A 22572-nucleotide genomic window follows, 5' to 3' on the forward strand; every position below is an offset into this window, starting at 1 on the left:
AAGAAGATTGATACATTTCAAAACAACTGCTTTCTCCTGGCGCAATGCATTAAGTGTAAGTGATGAGCAGAGAGCCTCCTAGGCATGTACCCCTTCCTGCATCTGTTTCTTCAGAAAGATGTAAATGCAATGTCCTATTTTTACCCACAAACAAGTCCACGATGAGATATTATTTATGAAATGGTGAAATAAATAACCTCAATTTAACTGATGTAATAGCAAATGTGATTAATGGAATCCATGCAAAAGTTTGACTTATTTATTTGCCTTAATTGAATGCCTAATCATGACTCACAGATGTTAGAGTTAGGTTTTTTTTTTTTAATATGGGCATAAAATATGCAAACTTTTTGTCTAGTCCAGCTTCTTTTGGAGACTTAAATTAATATTCATTTTGCGATCCACTTCAATTGTACTGTTTCCTCAAACCTTGCCCAACAAATGTTAACAAAAATGTTTTTCAATGAAATCTACTCACTAATATAAAAAAAACCCAGAAAACAATAAACCAAAAAAAGTAGCTTGAAGTTTTACTATATTCATTTATAATGATTACTCAGAAAAACAGTATTAAAAACAAATTAATATGTGCCCAAAAGGGATAAAAGCTTCACAAATGTGTTTATAATCTAAAAGAAGATGACAGACACAATGTATGTGAGTTTTAAGAAAAGGAAAAGAAAGAAAAAGAAAATTGCCATCAGATTTATTTAAGGTATGAGGCATCAAGGTAACTCTAGGGCCAGGTAGACTCAAATTCAAGATATTCTAGTCTTCGGCTTATTATCTTTGGTGCAGTAACTACAAACTTATTCCTGGTGCTATGTTTATTTGTTAAAATTCTTCTGTTTTATGAATTACCTGGATTTTTAACTTCTTATTTTCTATCATATTTATCTAAAACACCAATAATATCCTGCCTCCTAAGTTTTTCTTTGAGTTCTGCTGCTTTTCTTATATATTTTATGTAAGAATAAAACTCTGAATTAAATAAATACATTTAAAATGGAAACTTAAAATTCCCTACAGAAAAAAATGCTATTTTAATAAAAATATAAATAATGTGTCAAAGAAAAATTCTATTTTAAGTTAATTTGCATCCTTTGGATATTGGGAAACTGATCTTTGGTTTCAGCTTTAATTCTTACAGGAAGCAAATGACTATATTTATATAACATTTTTCAATATGCTTAATTGCTCCAGTTGGAGATTCTTGTATTTCACTAATGAATTACTTTTCTATTGTGAAGAAATGTCTCTCTCAAAGGACAATCATTTGTTACACCTGAGCCTTCCTGGTCCCAGTTGTGCCACATGCTGCTTAATAATTTGCAATGATTTAGGAAGATTGCCATAACCACTCAATTACGTAAACAACAGCTTTGGATGCAATCTATATAGCATGAGACACATCCTTAGCCCACATTTAGAACTGTCTTGTTAATTATATAGAATCCAGCAACCACTAGGTTCTGAGTATTTCACAGACAGCAGGTAACCTGTCCTAGAGGACTAAAAGTAGATGCTCATTTTCTTTGGCCTGTCTAGGCAGCTGCAGCATAACCATACAGTGGAATATAGCAGTGGGAAAAAAGAAGTCAACTAAGGTTTAGGAAACCTGATTTCTAATTCTGGCTCTATTGCTTTTTAGGTTTTGACTCTCAGGTAATGATATTCTCTGACCTTCAGTATTCTTCCCTTCATAGAATGTGTGCTACAGCTGATAGTTTCTTAGACATTTGCCTAATCAATGGCCCATTTCTACGTAACCTAAATTAAAGGTTTAAGATATTTTGCAAATTGTACCAAAATGTTTATAAAAAGTCTTAGTAACTTATTTTTATGCAGCATTCTGAAACAACAAGATGAAAAATCAGTCAATCACTGTAAGACAGGGTAGCTCATTTAAAATTGTGATTGTCAAAAATGTTAATTACTTCTGGGCCAATGAGATAGAATTGCTAGGCAATTTACTTTAAGTAACATAGCTTTGTGGCCAGAATTAACCTTTCTATAAGGAAAAGAGACACATGTCCATGTGTCCAGGTAATGAAATTTGAAGGCCAGGTAATATGAGTGAGTTCTGAAAATAAGTTTTACTGAATTCGCAATTATACCTTGGACAGGTCCTACACAATTAAGGTGTAAAATATAAACCCCTTCTGGTTATACTTTAGACTGTTGAAAATAAGTACAGTGTATTAAAAATATATAGTTATCTAAATAAATGAATTATCTTGGTACATAAATAAAACATTCAGATTTAAAGTAAATCCTTTTAGCTTCATTTATTTATCATATCATTTCACTAATAATCTACTTGTGAAATTCAGTGTTATCTTCATATCAAATTTTTTGCCCTTCATAAGTAAATGAGTATTAATTTACAAAGACTAAAATGTCTAGGGAAATATGACTATACAATCCTCTTTACCTAGTACCTAGTATAGTGCAATAGAAATTTGAAATGTTTCCCGATGCTACTCTGCACAGTGCAAAGATCATAAATTTTGGGGTATATCTAGTTTTGTTCTCAGATAATTTCCGATGGTTACTGGGTAATCCATTTAGACTTTCTAGGATGCTTTTCCCCATGTGTAAAAACAGGCATAATAATATTATCCATGACCTTTTCAATGTGTAATAATATGACTCATTCATTTTCAGGATAGTATGTGTCTATGCACATTCATTCAAGTAAATTACTATTCCTATGTCTATATTCATCCCTTAAGAACAAGAAGGGCATTTGCTAATTTGTTCAGTAATAGGAAGGGGAATGTAGGAAGAGTGGAAGAACAAAACACCATTTTGCAATTTTTCAGCAGGAACACTGTTTCGTGATATCTGGATTGCAACGAGAGGACTAGAAGTCAAGGGGCTAGAATTATCTGAAGGGTCACTCTCGTATGTCTAGAGTTTAATCCTAGCCATCAGTTGGAGGCCAAACTTCTTCACAAGATGGCTGGGCATCAAGAGCAAATAGACAGAGAGAGAGGGGCTATGTATGTGCACAGTAGATGAAGCTATATTGCGTTTTATTACTTAGACTTCTGCTACATTCTATGAGTAGAAGCAGTTATAAAGGTCACCTAGGTTCAAAGGGAGGGGACATGGATCCCATCTCTCAATGGAGGAGTGTTGATGTCACGTTGTAAGAAAAACATGTGGCATGGGTTATATATTGCTACCATCTTCGCAAAACAATATCTGCTCAAGCCAGTATAAGGGCTTTTAATTTATATCACCAAAGTGAACTTCAGTAATAGTATAAGATTTGATTTATATCTTTCCCTGTCTAATGATAGGAAAAATTGTATTTCACTGTTGTTTCTTTTTATAATTAAATATACCAAACATTGTTTCACAAGTTATTTGCCACTTATATTTTTTCATGATTAAAAAAATTATTTGACATAATCAGTATGCTCCTGTGGGTATTCACCTGCTTAATAACAGTTTATAAAACATCTTCAAATATTACACTAAGGAAACAACAGTTTCTCAGTTTTGTTGAAAATATTTCCCCTGGTGTGCCATTTTATTTTCACTTTGTTTTATTGCATTATTTATTGTTTATAAACTTTTTAATATGGTTCCTATATTATATACCATGCTTATGATGTGTTCCTCATCCCAGGATTATAAAAATAATTTTTACTTGTATGCTAACTTTGTTCTTTATAAATTATATCAAAATAAATTCTATATAAATTAAATATAAGATCTAACATTTTTCAGGCTTTTAACTGTTCAGCTTCATTTGTTGAAGTAATCAAAATAACAACTAGTTTTAAAAATAGTAGTATCCAAAGAAAACAGACATTATCTGTTGAATAAGCTTATACCTCCTCTACCAGTTAGAAATATTAAAATTATATATTGATTCATATATATACTTGAGTCTCTTTCTGGATGCTTTATCATGGATCTCTCCCGTAATTCACTATCACTTTTTTAAATCATTACAGTATAAAAGTACATTTTAATATCTTAAAAGCCCCCCTCTGAACGTGGTTTGTAATTCATGAAGAGCTTTTCAATAATCAGTGCCCAACCTACTTCCTCCCTGATGATCTCATTCAGGCTCATGTCCATAGCAACAACTTCCTATTTATATCTCCAGGCCACATCTCTCCTGTGAGCCTTAAACTCTATTACCCACTGGAAGGTTGAACATGTCTCTGTTTCAACTGGTCAAAACTGAGCCCTTGAATATTTTTCCCAAGTCTCCTCCTCCTCCAGTCTTCTTTATTCAAATAAAGGGCACTATACCAGCTAATCAGATACCAAAATGAAAGTGAAAGTTAACATCATTGTAGCCAATCTTTACATGAGAGTAAAAATGGTTAAATTCTTGTAATAGAAAATTAAAATGGGGCTGGGCACGGTGGCTCACACCTGTAATCCCAGCACTTTGGGAGGCCGAGGCAGGCGGATCACGAGGTCAGGAGATCGAGACCATCCTGGCTAACAGGATGAAACCCCGTCTCTACTAAAAATACAAAAAAATTAGCCAGGTATTGTGGCGGACGCCTGCAGTCCCAGCTACTAGGGCGGCTGAGGTAGGAGAATGGCGTGAACCTGGGCGGCAGAGCTTGCAGCGAGCCGAGATCACGCCACTGCACTCCAGCCTGGGCAACAGAGCGAGGCTCTGTCTCAAAAAAAAAAAACAAAAAAAAAATTAAAGTGGGAAATTTGGCTTTTGGGGAGGCACAGTGTGGTTACATCTGCACTGCATCTATGATGTCAAAATCGGTACCTGGTTTAGCATGTGAACAAGGAGTGCTAAAAAAAAAAAAAAAAAAAAAGTTAAGGACCATTGATCCTGTGGAGCATTTCAAAAATTTATTTTTTTATTTATAGCAGGGGGTATGTGTCTTCAGCCTCTTTCTCAAAGTTATTGTGGTTTCCTGCTAGTTTGGGGGTGTTAACAATGCTATTAAGTCTGCCCATGAGTGTACTATTACACTTCTACATGTCTCATAAACAGCATTTTTTTCTTGAGAATATTTTATGTATTTTCCCATATATTTTTTAAAATCTAAATATGTAGTTGTGATTTCTAAGAAGTAAATGCAAATATTAATAATCATATATTAAAATAAGATTAACTTCTAATTTTTACTATTGTTAGACTGATGGTTTAAAATATAGCAACTTAATAAAATGTAAAATCAATAAAATAATATAAGGTGATTTTCAGAAAAACCTTAGCTGTATGTGGAACAAATTATGTAAAAAACCTTAGCTGTATGTGGAACAAATTATGTAATTGCATCACCACATTGCTCTATACCCAGCAGGAGGACTTATATAGACTGCACCATCTGATCTTCCTTGCACTTTTACTTCCAGTTGGTTTCATTCAATGACAGGGACCAGGTAGATATCAGAGAGCAGAAGTGGAGAGAGACACACAGACAGAGAGACAAACAGATAGATGTGTGTCTCTAACCCTACTACCACTGCTGGCAAGTTTTGATATTGAGTACATTGAACAATCTTAGCTCTGTTAGTTGGTCCATTTCCTGCTACCTAACTGTCGTCTGGCTGTAACATTGCCATACCTTCACCCCTGCAGGTCTTGAGGGGGTAAAAGCTTTTCACAGTTGCTACCCTGAGCTGCTTCACCATTCTTTGCTGGTTTCCACAATCCTGCCACCCTCCGTAAATGTTCTCTTCATTAAAATGTCTCCCATCACTTCTGTGAGAAAGCCTTATGTTTCCTGCCCTGACCTTGACTGATACAGGCTCCAACTTTGGTTCTTCTTCAGTTGTACTCATAAAGGGAAACAGTATAGCTCATGAACTCTACCATGACGGTCCCTACAAAGCTTTTCATAATCATTTACTACTCGTATTATTTTATAATTTCAGTTCAATTCAAACTTCCTTTGGGTGGTTTTCAATAAACCAACCACTAAGCAAATACTAGGATGATAAAGAGGAAGATAAGACAGAGTACGTTCCTCAAGAAGCTTGGTTTTTTCAGCAGACAATTCATAAACACTTGAAAAAGTTAAACAAGCTTATGTATGACAAAACGTTACAAATGAACACTAACAGACCATAAATATAATTTGAAACTAGAGAAGAAAACAATGACATAGTCTAACAGGAAAGGCTTTGTTGAGGAGGTGGGACTTTAATTGGATCTTGGGGGATAGAGATTCTTCAGTGTGATTCCACCATTGAATATTTCTTATCTTTTTTGTCACACAAAGAGTAATGTTTTTTTTCATTTAGATCCCTCTTTCAATGTCCTAGAGCCATTTATGGGCCACTTGAAATAGTGTCTACACATGACAGATAAATTGTTTTTCTTGCCTGACCTACCCTGAGTCAGGATAGGCTTTGAGAAGCGTAACAATTCCTTTGCTTATCCATCTGATGCACATTGTGCCACACTGTGTCAGGTATCAGGAAGATTTGCATGAGAAGGAGTCCAGAGAAGTTCTAGATGATCACTTTTGGATTTGCCAAAAGTGACCCAAAAAGACTCCATGGGGCAAGCAATAACCCAGGCTCTGAGGTCGCTGGATCTGTATCTAATTTCCAACTCCTCCAGCTACTGGTCATGTGATCTTGAGAAAATTACTTAATCTTTGTTGTCTCAGTTTCCTCTTTTATAAAATTGTGGTTTGCATGTCTTCTCAGCTTGTATCAAGAGAATTTGCTAAGCATATACAATAGCAAAGTCATAATTTGTGACATATTTTAGATCAACTAGCAAGCCTCAAAACAATTTCACTTTAACATTCATTTTATAAGTATTTCAGGATAATTTTTCATATAGAAAAGCAAAGCTTCACTGAAACATAGTCTTTTGGTGAGTCATACCTTAAATTTTAGGTTTATGTAAAAGGGGTATAATAATTGAGCTTTTGTCAATCCTTTTAATCTTTTAAATTTGTATTCCCTTGCGTAATGGCCTCAAACGACTTTTTAGTTAATAAATAAGCAATTGTGGTTTCAAAATACCAGTTGAATTCAGAGGCATAATTAATTACTGAAATTGAAAAAGAGTCCGTTAAATTACTAATTACAATGTAGAAATAGTCCTTAAGTCATGAATTCTGATTTTTTTAAAATTTCATTTATATTCCCTCTCTTTCATTTAATATTCTTCTCAAAAACAGCTTCTACTTTAAAAACAAAACAGTTTTAGATATGAAGGCCATATTTACGGAACCCAAATTAATGAGGAATTTCCATAACCTAAGATGGCATGGTCATTAAGAATAAAACCCCTAAAATTTTTACCTTGTGCCTGACCACAGAAAGTGATGTAAAGTACAATTATAGCCAGAAGAATTCTCCAACCCAAATGTGCTTGTTAAGTTTGTTTATCCAGTTGCACCACATGCCACACAGCTGTGAACTATTTAGAGGTTTACTAGACACTCCTGTCTAGGAATTGTTTCTTTCTTTCTGATTTTCTGCCTCATATCACACCGGGGACAATTTAATGTGACTACATTAAGTGTTTTCTGAACTGCTGCTATTTCTAAATAGTTCTGATGTCTCTGGGGCATACTTTCCTCAAAAGCCAGATTTTCTTAAGACTTTGCTTCAATTAATTTAGTACATTGAGCGTATAACTTGATATAAACAACAACAAATATTATTTTGTCTGACAAAGTCTAGGTTCTCAGGCTGAAACAGGGAGCAAGGCACACAGATGACTCTTTTCATGGGGAGTACATTATGGCGGGGAAGACCTAGAAGCAATAAATAAACAAACAATTAAGAAAAAAATATTCCAGAAAGACATGATATGGAAATAAGAGTTGGCTGGGCAACTACTTTCCTGGAAGATCTTTTACAAGTCTACTCTCTGAGGAAGCTAGAAGAGCATAATTCTCATCAAGAGGTAGCAAATCCCTATCATGCCTCCTTTTGCCTGCTGGAACTTTAGAGGGAGAAAGAGGAACAGGCATGACTGAAGACAATAAGTAAAAGAGCCAACAAGAAGGAATACAGAGCCAAACGTGGCCAGATGAACATGTGCCCACGGGAATATGTGGGCATACTGAGTGGCCAGCGCCACCACAGAGGCTCTAAGCCTATCAAGCTAAAGTCACGTACCTCAAGCCCTCTTCTTTACAGATGGCATCTAAAGAATGACAAGACTCACCCAATTCATATTTAGAGATTTTGAACCAGAGCTGGAAGTTAGACTTCCTGGTGTATTTCATTTACATATCTACCAAGAATTGCCTTCATCTGAGTTACTTGCAATGTGGGCACTAATAAATATGATTACTGAGCAAGAATCAAGGAATGATACCATGGGGTTTACAGTACCCACAAAATTAGATATCCACTAAATGTACTATGTGGCAGATAATAGATCAGTGTGTCAGTACACCTGAAAATTACTAATGAGACTGGCACAAGTTGCCTCTTCGAATGGGGCTATGGAGAAATGCAAGCTGTGCTCCTCTTCTCTAGGAAGCAAAGCAGCCTGAAATGTTTAAGATAAACAATCTTCTATTCTGTTCAAAGAGAGGCACTTGAGAACAGGCCCAACTAGAAACAAAGGAAAAATGGAGCTAAGATGATTAGTTTCTTAATTATTTGGAAGGAATTCTAGAGAAGATTAAAAAACATCATGGTCTGGTCTGTAGTTAAATCCCATGATATATAATTTTAGTGATCATCTGGGAGATGGCTAATGGCAGAGATAATTATAGAAATGCTGACACAGCAAAACACAGTCAAGGCCAAATTAATTCTCAACATGTATAGCCAAGACATAATAAGAAAATTCCATTGATGACAAGAAGATAAATCAGAAGTAACAATAAAATGGTGAGTTAGAGTAGGTGAGTAAATAGAGAAAATGGACTCAATTCCGCTTACTCTTTCACTATCTTCTTTCCACTAGTTTCATCCTAAACTGAGAGACCAACATCAAAAGAATCTTCTCAAGTTTCTGAGTGACGGCAAGAAACTAGACTACTGTTACCAAGGAACTTTTTAAAGCAAACTGCTTTTGCTGATATGAGGAGAAAGTTAATTAATAAGAAAATACCTTAAATGTGTTTTGAAGCTGTTAAAGGTGTGTAACAATTACTCTGAATTTATTATAGCACCAGTTAGAGACCCAGGAAAACTATAAAATTGCACATCAGGGCAGAGCTGAGAGACGACATCTGCTTTGGGATTGAAAAAAAAAAAAAAAAAAAAAAAAACAGAAAGGGAACAAGAGAAATAGCAAGTCATTTAACATTTGGAATTCAGGACTCCAGACTCATCTATAGGACCAAACTGCTCTTGAAATATACTAGATTTCCTTTAGCTCCAGAGGTTTTGCCTTCATCAAATGCCTGTAACACTCTTATTGTCAAAAGGAATAAGTGATGGTGAACACTGTGCCAGATAGGAGGTACCACACACAGGTTCAGCAAAAAGCAGAAGCAAGAGGTATATTTTTTGTTAGATCTTAGTTCATCCCTATGTAACAGACATTTCAGGGAAGGGAGGAGAAAATAACAAAGCTACCTATGAGCAAAGGTAAATGGGATTCCCTATCCTTGTTTCCCAGTTTCGGTCATGGTATTGCTTATCCATTATTAGTTATCCACTGCTGGGTAACAAATTACTCCCAAACTTAGCAGCTTCAAACAACAATAAACATGTATTATGTCACATAGTTTGTTTCAGAACTTTGGGAGTGGCTTAGCTGAATGGTTGTAGCTCCAGGTGCTTTTTGTGGTTGCAGTCAAGAAGTCAGCCCATTCACACAGCTGCAGACAAAAGGACTCGGTTCCTTGCAGGCTGAGGCCTGATTAGGCAGGGGGCCTGAGTGTCTCGCCACATGGACCTCTCCATAGGGCTGCTTTTCGTGGCATGGCAGCTGACTCCCCTCAGAACAGATGATCAAAAGCAGCAAAAGAGAAGCCTCACATGACTTTTGCCCTAGCCTTGGGAATCACACTCTTCCATTTCTACAAAATCCTATTGGTTACATAGCAGCCCTATCCAGTGTGGGAGGGAACTGTATACAGGCATGAATACCAGGAGTGGAAAACCACTAGAGACTGGCTACCATGGTCACTTACACACCAACATGAAACTTTCAGCCTTTCCACCTCCTACCACTTATACTATATTTAATGTTTTTCCTGTTATGGACTTTAAAAAAGAGGTCATCATAAGCAATAATATCCATGAAATCATGGATATCATGTGATCTTTATATTTATTTTTATTTTTATATATTAATTTCCAAATAAAAATAGAACTATTAAAACAAAATGTATGTTATCTTCTCATAGCAAGTCAAGCATCAGCAGTGTTATACATACTACCGTTTGTGAAGTACCACTAGCCACAAGCTCAAGCTGTTCTTGCTTGAGGGAGATCTTTATAAGCTCAGTGTAAGTCAGGAGGCATTTGTTTCACATGCCATCCTCACTTACACTAAATTCCCTAGAAGTCCAAGGTAATAGTACTTGGGGATAGGCTACAATGCTACAACAAAGCCATTTGCTATGGTGGTTATAACTGTCACTTGCCAGCCATCGTTTGTAATTACTTAAAACAGAAACAGTTTAAAGAATTAAACCAGAAGGGTAAAGCAGATTGTTCTCAGGACGTAAAACTAAACTCACCTTATTATGTATTGTTACACTCCTGTCCACTTTCATTACCAAAGGCAATAAAGCAATTTTAACTGTTCCCTGGAATGTCACCAGCAATAAGTGGTTTTGTTTTACTGTTCTGTTGAGCCGAATATAATAGTTATATTTTAGATCTCTTGCAACTGGGGAATCTAGAAATGCTTTCTGGTCTTTGTGAATTTATTAAAATATTTGATTTGGGTAACCTTGGTGTTACTTTAAGTATAGTCAGGGAAATCATGTCATAATCACTGAGTTTCATTAGCGACTGGCCCTTTTTAATCATAAAATTCAGTGTTCTGAAACCTATTGCCTGTTCTGTCCTACACTTGTGACTTTGTCTCTTCTCTTGATTGTACAGCCATGAGCCCTCATTATGCTTTCCTGAGGGTGTTGTATTTACTGGTGTCCTTCATTGCCAAAGGTGACAAGGCAGGGAATGTAAGAGTACAGCTGGCGGGAAGAATCTCTATTCCGAGTACACGGAGCATGTCCCATACTTCAGCCTGCAGAGCCCGTGACTACTAGCAGGGTCAAAATTGTGTCATTTAGGCTGGGCGCAGTGGCTTGCACCTGTAATCCTGGCACTTTGGGAGGCAAAGGTGGGTGGATCGCTTGAGCCCAGGAGTTTGAGACCAGCCTGGGCAACATGGCGAAACCCCATCTCTACTAAAACATACACACACACACACACACACACACACACACACACACACACACAACTAGCCAGGCGTGGTAGCACATGTCTGTGATCCCAGCTATGCAGGAGGCTGAGGCATGAGAATCTCTTGGACCCAGGAGGTGGAGGTTGCAGTGAGCCAAGATCACGCCACGACACTATAGCCTGGGTGACAGAGCTAGATGATTTCTCAAAAAAAAAAAAAAAAAAAAAAAGTCATTTTACCATATGCCTGTCAGGTTTACATTTTTTACTTCATTTGATAAGACAATGATTTATTTTATTTAAATTCTAAATTCATATCTGAATTAAAATAACTATTATATTGTTAAGTAGGTTTTCTTCATCATTATTTTTCAGAAAACTGGAGAAAGTGTAGGGAGCTCCAAAGCAGTACATACACTTACCACACCAATGCCATTATTTTCCAGAGTACTTCTTCCTCCTTCACCCAGTTTCTTTATTATGAAATTTAACTTCCAAGAATAAAGGTTTTTCCACTTACAACTAATATGCCCTATTCTGCTTCATGAAGAGTAGAGGGAGAAATAGCACCCAGGACTATTCTGGAGACATTAATACCTGATCTCTGTTGCACTGTTTGTGATTTGGGCATATTTTAAGGTAATTTATACAGTTATTATTTCCCTCTTTTTTGACATCCAGGTAAGAAGTGCAATGAATCTTCATGATCAAAAACTCATTAAAACTAAATAAAATAAAAATAAATGTACTTAAGTCTATAAATAATCATAGTGCTTTGTAGTTAAGGAAGTTAAGTAGTTAAGAAAAAAGAGTCCAGGCGGGGTGCAGTAGCTCACGCCTGTAATCCCAGAACTTTGGGAAGCCAAGGTGGATGGATCACCTGAGGTCAGGAGTTCGAGACCAGCCTGGCCTCGAACATGGTGAAACCCTGCCTCTACTAAAAATACAAAAATTAGCTGGGTGTGGTGACACACGCCTGTAATCCCAGCTACCTGGGAGGCTGAGGCAGGAGAATCGCTTGAACCTGGGAGGCAGAGGTTGCAGTGAGCCAAGATCGCACCATTGCACTCCATCCTGGGTGACAGAGCAAGACTCCATCTCAAAAAAAGAAAGAAAAAAGAAAAAGTGCAATTAGAGCTGGAGTTAAAAGTGGGGAGTCATGGTCAGGAGTTGTTCTTCATGTCTCTCAAACACCATGTGTTTTCTACCATCCTTGTTTCTCCCTTTGCATCTCCACTCTCCAGTGACTTTCTCTGCTTCCCACTGGACCCCCACTTTTACAATACATAACTATTTCAATGCCAGCCATTATCTAACATTTCTCGGTATGTCTCCGTTCAAATTAGAGAAAGAAAGAGGTCTGAATGTTATTTATACTTTCTCCATAGAGATTCTAAGGAAGACAATATTAATGACAGTTCTTTGTTTACTGAATGGGACGAGGAATGTGCCAATAAAAGATTATATAAGAAATGAGATTTAAAATTTTTCAGGGAGAAGGAAAAGTTAAGAGAAAGATGAATCATCTTGAGAGACAATAAGACAATTTGATGAGTTGCTGGAAATGATACAGTGTTTAAATGAGAACTTCTGTTACATGTTTTTGTATATTGTGTGATAGAATTCTCTTTTGTTTCCTCATCGAACCTTCTGTAATATCTCTTTTGGCTAACCTTTGTGAGGCCAAGATTGCCTTCTGTGCCTGTGATTAAGAAGTGTTAAGTCCAGGTATAGCTTGAGAAAGCACAGAGACCACACTCAGTAATGTAGTCACACCTATGGAATAGAAAAACACCCAGACTCTTTAGTTTCCTAAACTAACAGCATTACTGTTAGTTTTGCAGCATTACTGACAAGAAATCATTCTCTCATACCCCAAATCCAGCCAAGATGAGCTCGTTTCTATAGGCCCCTTGTTTTTACATATTTCTGTGCCTTTGCTCATGTTATTCTACCTCCTCATCAAAAACCATTTCAGCAATTGTGGAAACTACTCTGCATCAACACCCAACCCAAATGCTACTCTTTGTAGCTAAAATTAACCTCTCCTTCTCAACTCTCATAGCACTTGGTTTGGTACTCATATAATACCTCTATCACATTTGCCTTGCATTAAACTTAATGATTGTATGCTTCATATATCCTATCAGAATATAAGCAACATCTTATATACCTCAGATTCTCCAAAGAAGCCAGGCTCAGTGCATGACATATATGAACACTCAGTAAATGTTTCTTGAATTAAATGAAAAGGTCAGTAACTCAGTTCGCTGTGTCTTTTTTTCCAGATTTTTACAGTACAACAGTAGAAAATAGTAAGCTAAAACATGTACACTTAAATAAATGCATTTTCATAATGAAGACATTTTGGCTTCTTACTGGTAAATAATGAGCTTTCCTCTACCTGCCATGTAGTCTGTTCTGAAGATAAATAGAAGTATGAATATGCAAACACTTTGGGAAGAGAAAACATGCTACATAAATAAGAGAGTGTTTATTGCTGTAACTACTACATGGAGTCCATCCTCATAACTCAGTGTTTCTCTGTATTATAGGGAATCATGATAGCTTAGGATAATCTGAAGTCCCCGAGTGAATGCTCCTCAAATTGTGAACTGTGGACCAGTACCAGTCTGAGAACTGTTACTAGTCTATACGGAGATAAGTATAAACATTGGGACTAAGCATTTAAAAATTTGTATAGCAATTTGATAGAATGACTGCTGAATTTAATAATAAATATGTGACTATATCCATATGCCTTTCTCTTATTAATTTCCTTTTGCCAGCAATAGATTTTCATTGATTATATAATACAGTTGATACACAACAGATTGCCAGCAAAAATAAAACAACATCAAAAAACCTGGTACTTCAATATAGATAGGTTGAGAACCAATGTTATAGATAATTCTCTCCAGAATGGAAGATACCCACATTATGAACATGGAAGTTCTGGGGAAAAGAAGGAACATAAATTTGTAGATATTGTGGGTTATAAAATACTAGTTTCAACAAAGGTTAATATAAAAGAACAAGAGAGTGAATGGTAATGAGAATAAAGCATAATGTGACAGTCTGATTCATAATATTCATTTTGATCATCTTTTTAAAGCTTTTTGTACATCTTTAACAATCTTCTGCAGGCTCCTCTCTCTAGGAACTGAACTTACATCTGGAACTTTCAGAGAAACTAACATTCTTTTCTGTTGTTAAGTGAATGTGGGGGTTTTGTTGGCTTGAAGAAAACAACTATGCACCCATTTAATTGATATTAACAGTAATTCCCCAGTCATCTATAAATTTTCTCTGTGAAAAAGTCCTTCAGGAAGCCAATAAATTATTGTCTTTAAAATACAATTGAGCTTTAGTAATCCTTTGCTTTTTTGCCAGTTTAACATTGACCTTTTATGAAAGTTTTCTTAAGTTGGGTCGAGATGACATTTGGAGCAAACAATATGTGGTCTTCTTATTGTCAGAACATTTTGTTTTTCCAGATTACCAAGATAACATATTTCACGGGGGTTTAGAATATGTTCTATAGATTTCTCAAACTACTGAAAATGATAATTTGCAAGTATATTAAAATTTAACATTTATGAATCATATTACAAATGTTGACTTGAGAAATCTTGGTTTCATTACTTAGATCACAAAATTGGAGGACGAGGACTGAATTAGACATCAAGCTTTGTGCTGTGCCTTCTGTGGTAGTATTGCTCAAAAAAGATTCTTCATGTAGGGGAGGTAGAGTTCCCAACAATGCATCCATTTAGACAAAACAGCGGGGTGTGCTGGGGGTGGGGGTTGTTGAGCCATTTATAAAATACCTTTAACTTTGCTATATTTCATTTGTGTTTTACTTCCTTTTGCTGCTAGGCAAATCTGGCCCCCTGCTGCACAGGTCCCATGTGAACTGAAATTGGGAAACTAAGAAGCCCTGTGTGATGGGTTTCTGGGGCTCACACACCATCTCTACTTTTCTCCTTCTACCTTTCAGGCTCTGATTATCTTCACTCATTTCACAAAGTAGCCCATTTTTCTTCAGCAGTCTTTAAAAAGGGGAATTGGGATGTTTTATGTAGATAATAATACTCCAATAAAGAGAAAATCAGTTTCCTGCTGACCAAATTGCTTCCTCTATATATTAATATCCAAATCTGCTCTAAAGCATGTGCATTTAAAGTTACTTCTTATATAACTGTTTGTGGGGGAGAGAGTAAAGAAAGTCTAAATTACACCCACTAAAAGTTCTGAAAGTTTTAACTTTTGAAATTCTTTAGTTCAGTAAGCACAGATTTAAATCCAAAAAGACAATCATTGTGAAAATGAGATGACTTCTTGATTTTTGACCTTATCTTTGCCTCTTGACCTTGCTATCTTAGGAATTCTTGATGGCCTTTTTCTGAATCTTTTTCCAATCTAACTTTAAGACTCTGTTCCCAAAGCATGCTGTAGGCGTAACACATTTTCTTCAGGCATGAGTTTAGCTGCAGCTGCTCCAGGACACACCCCCTGCAGACTCTTGACTTCCCAATCCATCAGACCATCCATCCCTCAACAGGCCTCCCATTCTCCTGCCTCTGCCTTCCCTCTCAATGTGATCAGATCCATCACATCTGATCCTAAGCTGCTTTAGGTATGTTGTTTTGATCTCCATTTGCCTTCTTCCCTGTTCTTATTGACAACGCAGGCTTCCTAAACACATAGTAGCTAGCTCCATCTCCATCATCACTCAGTTACCCCTTTTCTTTTAAATTCATCTTCACTCCCAAACCCAATTCTGACCTCAAGTGCTCAAGAGGAAAATCCAGACATCTTGGGATATGATCAGCCATCTTAATCATGAAATTGAGAGTGAGGGTGATTTCAACAGTGGCCAACCTTTCTCTGGCTCCACCCTATAGTTCTCTTTTACCCTTAGTTAAATTGTGAGCCCTATTTTGCGGAATGTACTTGTATCAATGACATTATTTTACCTATACCTGACCATTTACTAGAACTTAAATAATCTCAGTAACTCATGCTCCAATGGAAGCAGGAAGAGAGTCAGGCAAGCTTGATGTGTCTTGTTGTTTGGTGACAAGGTTCTTGACAGTATACCTCTATCATCTATGCTTATCTACTCTTGATTGTTTAAAAAGCTGCCAACTTAGAAACCTAAAATGCAATTTTCCATTGTGCTTACTACTTTCCACCCTCTCAGGCTGATGTCTATGCCTTGCCCTGAACTGCCCTCCACCTGCGGCATCCTATGTGAGCATTTCACTTGGCACCAGCAGCAGATGCTTTCTATGGCAAATCAGCTGTGAAAGCTCATCAGCCTAGACTTTTCACCCGAGTCCATTTAAACTTGAATGTATAAGATGTGACAGACATAACTAGGCGTATCTTTCCAATTTACCGTCTTAGCCTTATGCTTGGAACAAGCAAGAAGATTTGGTCTGTTCCTCAGGTATTAGGAAGAATACCAAAAGCTTCCTGTCATGAATAACACTCCTTTCTACACTAATCCTTCAAATCTCAGTGAATTTCTTGAGAACAAATAGAATTGACCTCTCCAGAGACTGACTTCTCTCTCATTGGGTTACAATATAACAAATTTCATCTTTTTGAAGTGAGCAATCTGTCAGTTTCAACACATAATTTCTCTTTTTCCCCATATTTACATCTGGAGCCAAAACTGATTCTTTTCACTTGCCAGCAACTCTCAGAAGAATTAAGATGGTTTTGTTTATACCTATGTATCTTTCTGTCTATCTATATACCTATTTACCCATCTATTATTTAATATGGTCCCTACCTTAGTCTCTGGTCTAGGTGACTGTCTTTTGAATGATCTCATGTACTCTCTCTTCTACTCACCTATCCATTGGTTTCTTCTTTCTTTCCACCTTATGGCTCCTGTTCCGCTGGCTTTCACCAGGCTAAGACTGTTTTGCTTTGCAGTTCCCTCCCTTTTCTGTCTGCTGCTCTGCTCCTAGACTAACACAATCCTATCGAACCTTTTGCTTATTATCATACTACCATGTGTGAGCTTCATTTCTGTGGAATGCTATCTCTGAGATGCTAGTCCTCTACACCTGTACAGATCACAACTGTCGAAGAAAACAAAAGCTAGATCCTGTCCACTGTTGTACTCCTGGTAGATGTACTTGGGAAAGCCACTTCAGTGCAATCCCAAGAATTGCCGATGCTGATATTTACATTGTAGATACACAATGTGGTCCATGTTCTAAGTGTTCCATACATATGCACTCATTAGATCCTTAGCAACCCAAGGAGGTTTGGAGCATCATCGTTCGCATTCACAGGTAAGAGATTGAGTCAAAGAAGGATAAGTGACATGCTGGTCACACAACTTGTCAGTGAGAACCAGGTTTGAGCCAGGGAGTTTGGTTCCAGAGCTCATGCTATTAACCACGATGCTCCAAATAGTGTTTCAACATCTAATACTTCTGCTTTCCATCTCTTCTCTTGGCTTCGTGAGGTTCTCCTACAGTCCCAGGCTCCTTTTCAGCCACATCCTGACAAACTAAAAGGAAATGAAGATTCCTTCTTGAACCTTGAAATCTCATGATTTCCTCTCTGCACACCACATCTTCATTTCTTTGTGCAAACTGAACTCAGTTCCTTTATCTTGATGGCCTTACTCATGACTCACTTTACCAAATATAGATAGACATTTGTAATCCTCTTACAAATGACATTTCCCGTCAGGAAGGGCAGCACCAGAGACAGCATAGCTCCTCTAAGGATGTGCACAGCCTCAACTCAGCTCCCAGCTCTTGAGATTGTAGAATGAAAGTCTTTATTTTCCTGTTTATATTACTTGATGACCATTACAGAGTTTAAGTCATTGTAAAGCACAGACAATTATTTGTAATCTGTTACCTTCTCAATGAGGGATGAAAACCAACCACATAATAAGGCAGGCTTTTAATCAGAACAGCTGGTGTGATGTCAAAGGAAGGAGCACTGGCTCACACACTCACAAGATGAGGTCCCACAGTAGGTCTTTGCAAGCTGAAGAGCAAGGAAATTCTGAGTCCCAAAGCTGAAGAAACTGGGAGTCTGATGTTTGAGGCCAGGAAGCATCCAGCACGGGAGAAAGATGTAGGCCAGAAGACTAAACCAGTCTAGTCTTTTCACGTTCTTCTGCCTGCCTTTATTTGGCTGTGCTAACAGCTGATTAGATGGTGCCCACCCAGATTAAGGGTGGGTCTGCCTTTCCCAGTCCACTGACTCAAATGTTAATCTCCTTTGGCAACACCCTCACAGACACACCCAGGATCAATACTTTGCATCCTTCAATCCAATCAAGCTGACACTCAGTATTAACCATCACATCTTCTGTGCTTGACACATAGTGGACCTTCAATAGATGTTTCATGAATGGCAATGGTTGTCTCAGCTGATTTATAACATAAAGTTAATGAGACCAAGTTCATATTCATTTGACTGAACATACTTCTTTTGGAACCAAAACACACTGTATCTTTATTTTCAGCCAGAAACTCACCATATACTGTATCCTTATTGCCATCACCCAAGTTACTCATTAGCCACAAAAGAAAATGAGCCAGAGAATGCTTCCAATTTAATATAACGTACAGAACTTTTCAACAAAGGCTGATAATGTCACTTTCATATACCAAGAGCAGCATAAGTATATAAATAGATAGATTGATTTAAGTAGATACATACATACGTGTAAATATACACATATACACACAATGCATATATGTGTGTGCATATATATAAAATATAGTGTATGTGTTTAAACTGAAAAGATGTGTGAATCGATGTTATCATTATGTGTATAATAGATTGTTATAATTGCAAGGGGAAAACAGTTAATTGCTCATTATCACAGGCCTGACACACATTGAAGTTTTAGTGTGTATTCGAATGATCCCACTGAATAGTTAATACATTTAAAGCAAATAAAAATAAAAGGCTTTTAAAAAATTGTGTTAAAGCTCTTTACACAACAACTTTTATTCCACTTTCTGTCAAAGCTTATGTGTTTCCAAGGGAGTACAGTAATTGTGCATTTTCTATTTTTAAATCATTCATTGTTCTAGTTAAATATTATGAATGTATGCCAATTCTTAAAAGAGCCATGCAGAGATAGTAGGTATAATTGTGTTGTACTCAAAATAAATTCATGGTTAAAGCAAATATTTAACAACTGCCAAATACTGGATTGCATGTAGAAAACGAATCCTGTATAGCTCTGGTAAATTAAAGCTTCAATCCAAACCTTCCTTCTGTGCTTTATAATTAGAAAACCAAATGAGGAACTTCTCTGGGCAGCCTGGTTTAAAAAGCCCACCTGTTTTCTGTTTTTGAAAATATATTTTTTCAAGTTAATATGTTTAAATAAAGGATTCAGATGACTCAAAAAAAAAAAACTGGAACTGAATTGTAGACTAAAGAATACCTTCTCGTATTTAAATTACTATGTATATTGTGGTATGCTGCAATATGTTAACTGGCTTATAAGACATTAATTACAAATAAAATGCACTGAAAAAGAATTGGACTCAGGGTATGCAAAGAAGACATCACTTGAGGTATGGCAACCTCCGCATGAGGTCACTCATCAAGCCTTATATCCAACGACTTTCTATTTTCTCCACATCAGCGGCCCACCATCTGGGTTCATCCTGGGTTTTGTAAGTATTCAAAACTATACTGAAATATTAAATCAGACATTCAACTCCCTGGTCATCAGTTTCCACTATTATCCCCACCACATCTGTCTTCAGCCTTTCAGGGACATTTGAGTCCCTTGAATTTATATTTCTCCCCCTACCACTAGTTTCCCTATGCATACTAAATTTTACGTTCCATCATTTCAAATATTTACTGTATAATTCCTTGACTCTTTTTTTCCTATTGTCCTTTAGTCTGAGTACTTGGAAAACCCCAGCCTTGGCTCAATCTAATTTTTCACCTTTTCTGAAATAATACCCATACTTCTCCTGTGCCTCTGTGGAAATTTCATGCAACCTTGCAGATTGGTGTCAGTCTAAACGCATGATTTTAAAACTTAACTAGGTTCTCAGAATTCTTTTCCCCAAAAATATTTACAAGTTTCTCTTTTTTTTTTTTTTTTTTTTTTTTGAGACGGAGTCTTTCTCTGTCGCCCAGGCTGGAGTGCAGTGGCGAGATCTCGGCTCACCGCAACCTCTGCCTCCCAGGTTCACGCCATTCTCCTGCCTCAGCCTCCCGAGTTGCTGGGACTACAGGTGCCCACCACTACGCCCAGCTAATTTTTTTGCATTTTTAGTAGAGACGGGGTTTCACCATGTTAGCCAGGATGGTCCCTATCTCCTGGCTTCGTGATCCGCCCGCCTCGGCCTCCCAAAGTGCTGGGATTAGAGGCATGAACCACCGCTGCCAGCCTTTCATTCTTAAATCTTCAAACCCATCACTCATTTTCACTTTCATCAGGTGACATTGCTTTTAGCTTCACATGGAAAAGAGAAGCTATCAAAGCAGAATAATCTCATTGTTGTATTCGGATTTCCCTGCATACCCAAACACACTTTCCTCCTGTGACTGTGGATAAGGGTCTCTTCTGTCTAACACTAGACTTTCTGTTAGGGGAAACTATTTTCTTTCACCTTCCTAGGGGACCATGCATCCATTGCTAGCCTCCTTTCCTACCATCCTCAATCTGTCTTTCTCTACTGAGTTATATGCACAAATAATGAAATCGTCAAATGAAATGATCAAATCTTCATCTCTGGGTGTTTCTTTGTGGATGCTACCCCTTCTCTCTTCAACCTTTACTAGCTAACTTTTTTGAAAGAATAGTCTACTTGCTATTTTCTTTTCCTTGTCTCCCATTTATGCCTTGGTTTGTCTATAATGTAGCTTCTACCTCCATCACACCTGTGAAAAGACTTTCACCAAGTCATAGATTACCCTTGTGCCTGTCACGATTCTAGCAGGAAAGAAATGGGATGAGACTGAGAAATACTTTAGATAAAATTGATAGAAATTCTAATTACAGGGGGCAGGACCAAGATAGCCGACTAGAAGCAGCGCCATTGGGAGGCTCTCATAGGAAAAAACCATAATAAGCGTGTGAATCCTTCACCGGCAACAAAGGTATCCAGGTTCCCTCATCAAAATTGAGTAGAAGACTGGCATGACCCACGGAGAGAAGGAAGAGCAGTGTGGTGTGGCAGCCCACCTGAGAGCCACACAGGGAAGTGTAACCCCCTCCCCCCAGCCAAGGGAGGTGGTGAGTGAGCCTGCTACACAGCTGGGGAAACTGCCTTTTCCACAGAACTGTGCAGCCCACAGATCAGAAGATCCCACTTGCAAACCAACGCTACCAGGGCCTAGCATCCCAAACCCGGAACAGCACAGATTCTTACAGCCTCTCAGCTGGAAACTGCTTAAGCCTACTGAACTCCCCAGGGGGAGTGGCGACCAGCACCAGCTGCAGCTGCCTTCTGTCTAAGCTCATTGAGCTCCTTGGGGGAGGGGCAGCAACCAGCATTGGGACTTGCAACTGCCTAACACACTAAGCTCCCTGGGTGGGGGAAGGGTGGCACCCATTTCTATAGCTCCAGGCTATGCTTTTCCTCTGCTGGAGCCACGGAGGCTGGATGGGGTCCCAAGACTTTTCCCCACAGCCCAACACACCGGCTGTGGCAGTCTGCAACCAGAGTGCCTCTTCAGGTCTAACCCTGACCCATCCTTCTTCAGCTGGGGGAGGATTCCCTGCAGGATCTCCAATAACTTCAGCCAGAGTCTCAGGGACAGAATTCAGGTCTCCCTGGGCCTGAGCCCCCAGGGGGATGGGTGGTCACAGTCTCTGTGGACCAGCAGACTTAGCCTCCCCTCCTGGTAGTTCTGGGAAATCCAGGCAGACCAGTGGGGTTTCCCCCAGTGAAACACACCCTCTCCACCAAGGGACAAAGTGCTTGGTTAAATGGGTCCTGCTCCCAATGTCACCCAACTGGGTGAGGCCCTCCAATGGGGGTTGTCAGACATCCTATATAGGAGCAATCCTACTGGCATCAGGTTGGTGCCCCTTGAGGTCAGAGGTCCCAGAAGAAAGAGCAGGCACCCATCTTTGCTGCTCTCCAGCCTCCTTGAGTGACATCTGCAGGCTTGGGAGCAAATCAGATGAATAAGGCCTGAAATGAACTTCCAGCAAATGGCAGCAGCCCTACAGAAGAGAGACCTAACTATTGACAGAAAAACAAACAAGCAGAAAGTGACACCAACAGCATCATCATCAGCAACAAC

At 38.0% G+C, this 22572-nt stretch overlaps 1 long non-coding RNA gene across 1 annotated transcript in view, besides 2 other annotated features; it reads left to right on the top strand.

Annotated features, from left to right (window-relative positions):
- The window catches only part of LINC01934 (long intergenic non-protein coding RNA 1934), a 275717-nt gene extending 265649 nt beyond the window's left edge, over nt 1-10068 (top strand). Inside the window, exon 5 of the long non-coding RNA NR_130784.1 lies at nt 8894-10068. This is a non-coding gene — a long non-coding RNA (long intergenic non-protein coding RNA 1934). The remainder of the gene's footprint in view (nt 1-8893) is intronic.
- Nucleotides 21934-22083: an enhancer, noted in NCBI's record as "active region_16826". NCBI's record gives its function as "activates an Ori minimal core promoter by ATAC-STARR-seq in GM12878 lymphoblastoid cells {active_cell/tissue: GM12878}" and the evidence as "EXISTENCE:reporter gene assay evidence [ECO:0000049][PMID:35858748]".
- Nucleotides 22094-22363: an enhancer, noted in NCBI's record as "active region_16827". NCBI's record gives its function as "activates an Ori minimal core promoter by ATAC-STARR-seq in GM12878 lymphoblastoid cells {active_cell/tissue: GM12878}" and the evidence as "EXISTENCE:reporter gene assay evidence [ECO:0000049][PMID:35858748]".

This window comes from Homo sapiens, chromosome 2, assembly GCF_000001405.40.
Source record: "Homo sapiens chromosome 2, GRCh38.p14 Primary Assembly".
Classification (NCBI taxonomy): domain Eukaryota; kingdom Metazoa; phylum Chordata; class Mammalia; order Primates; family Hominidae; genus Homo; species Homo sapiens.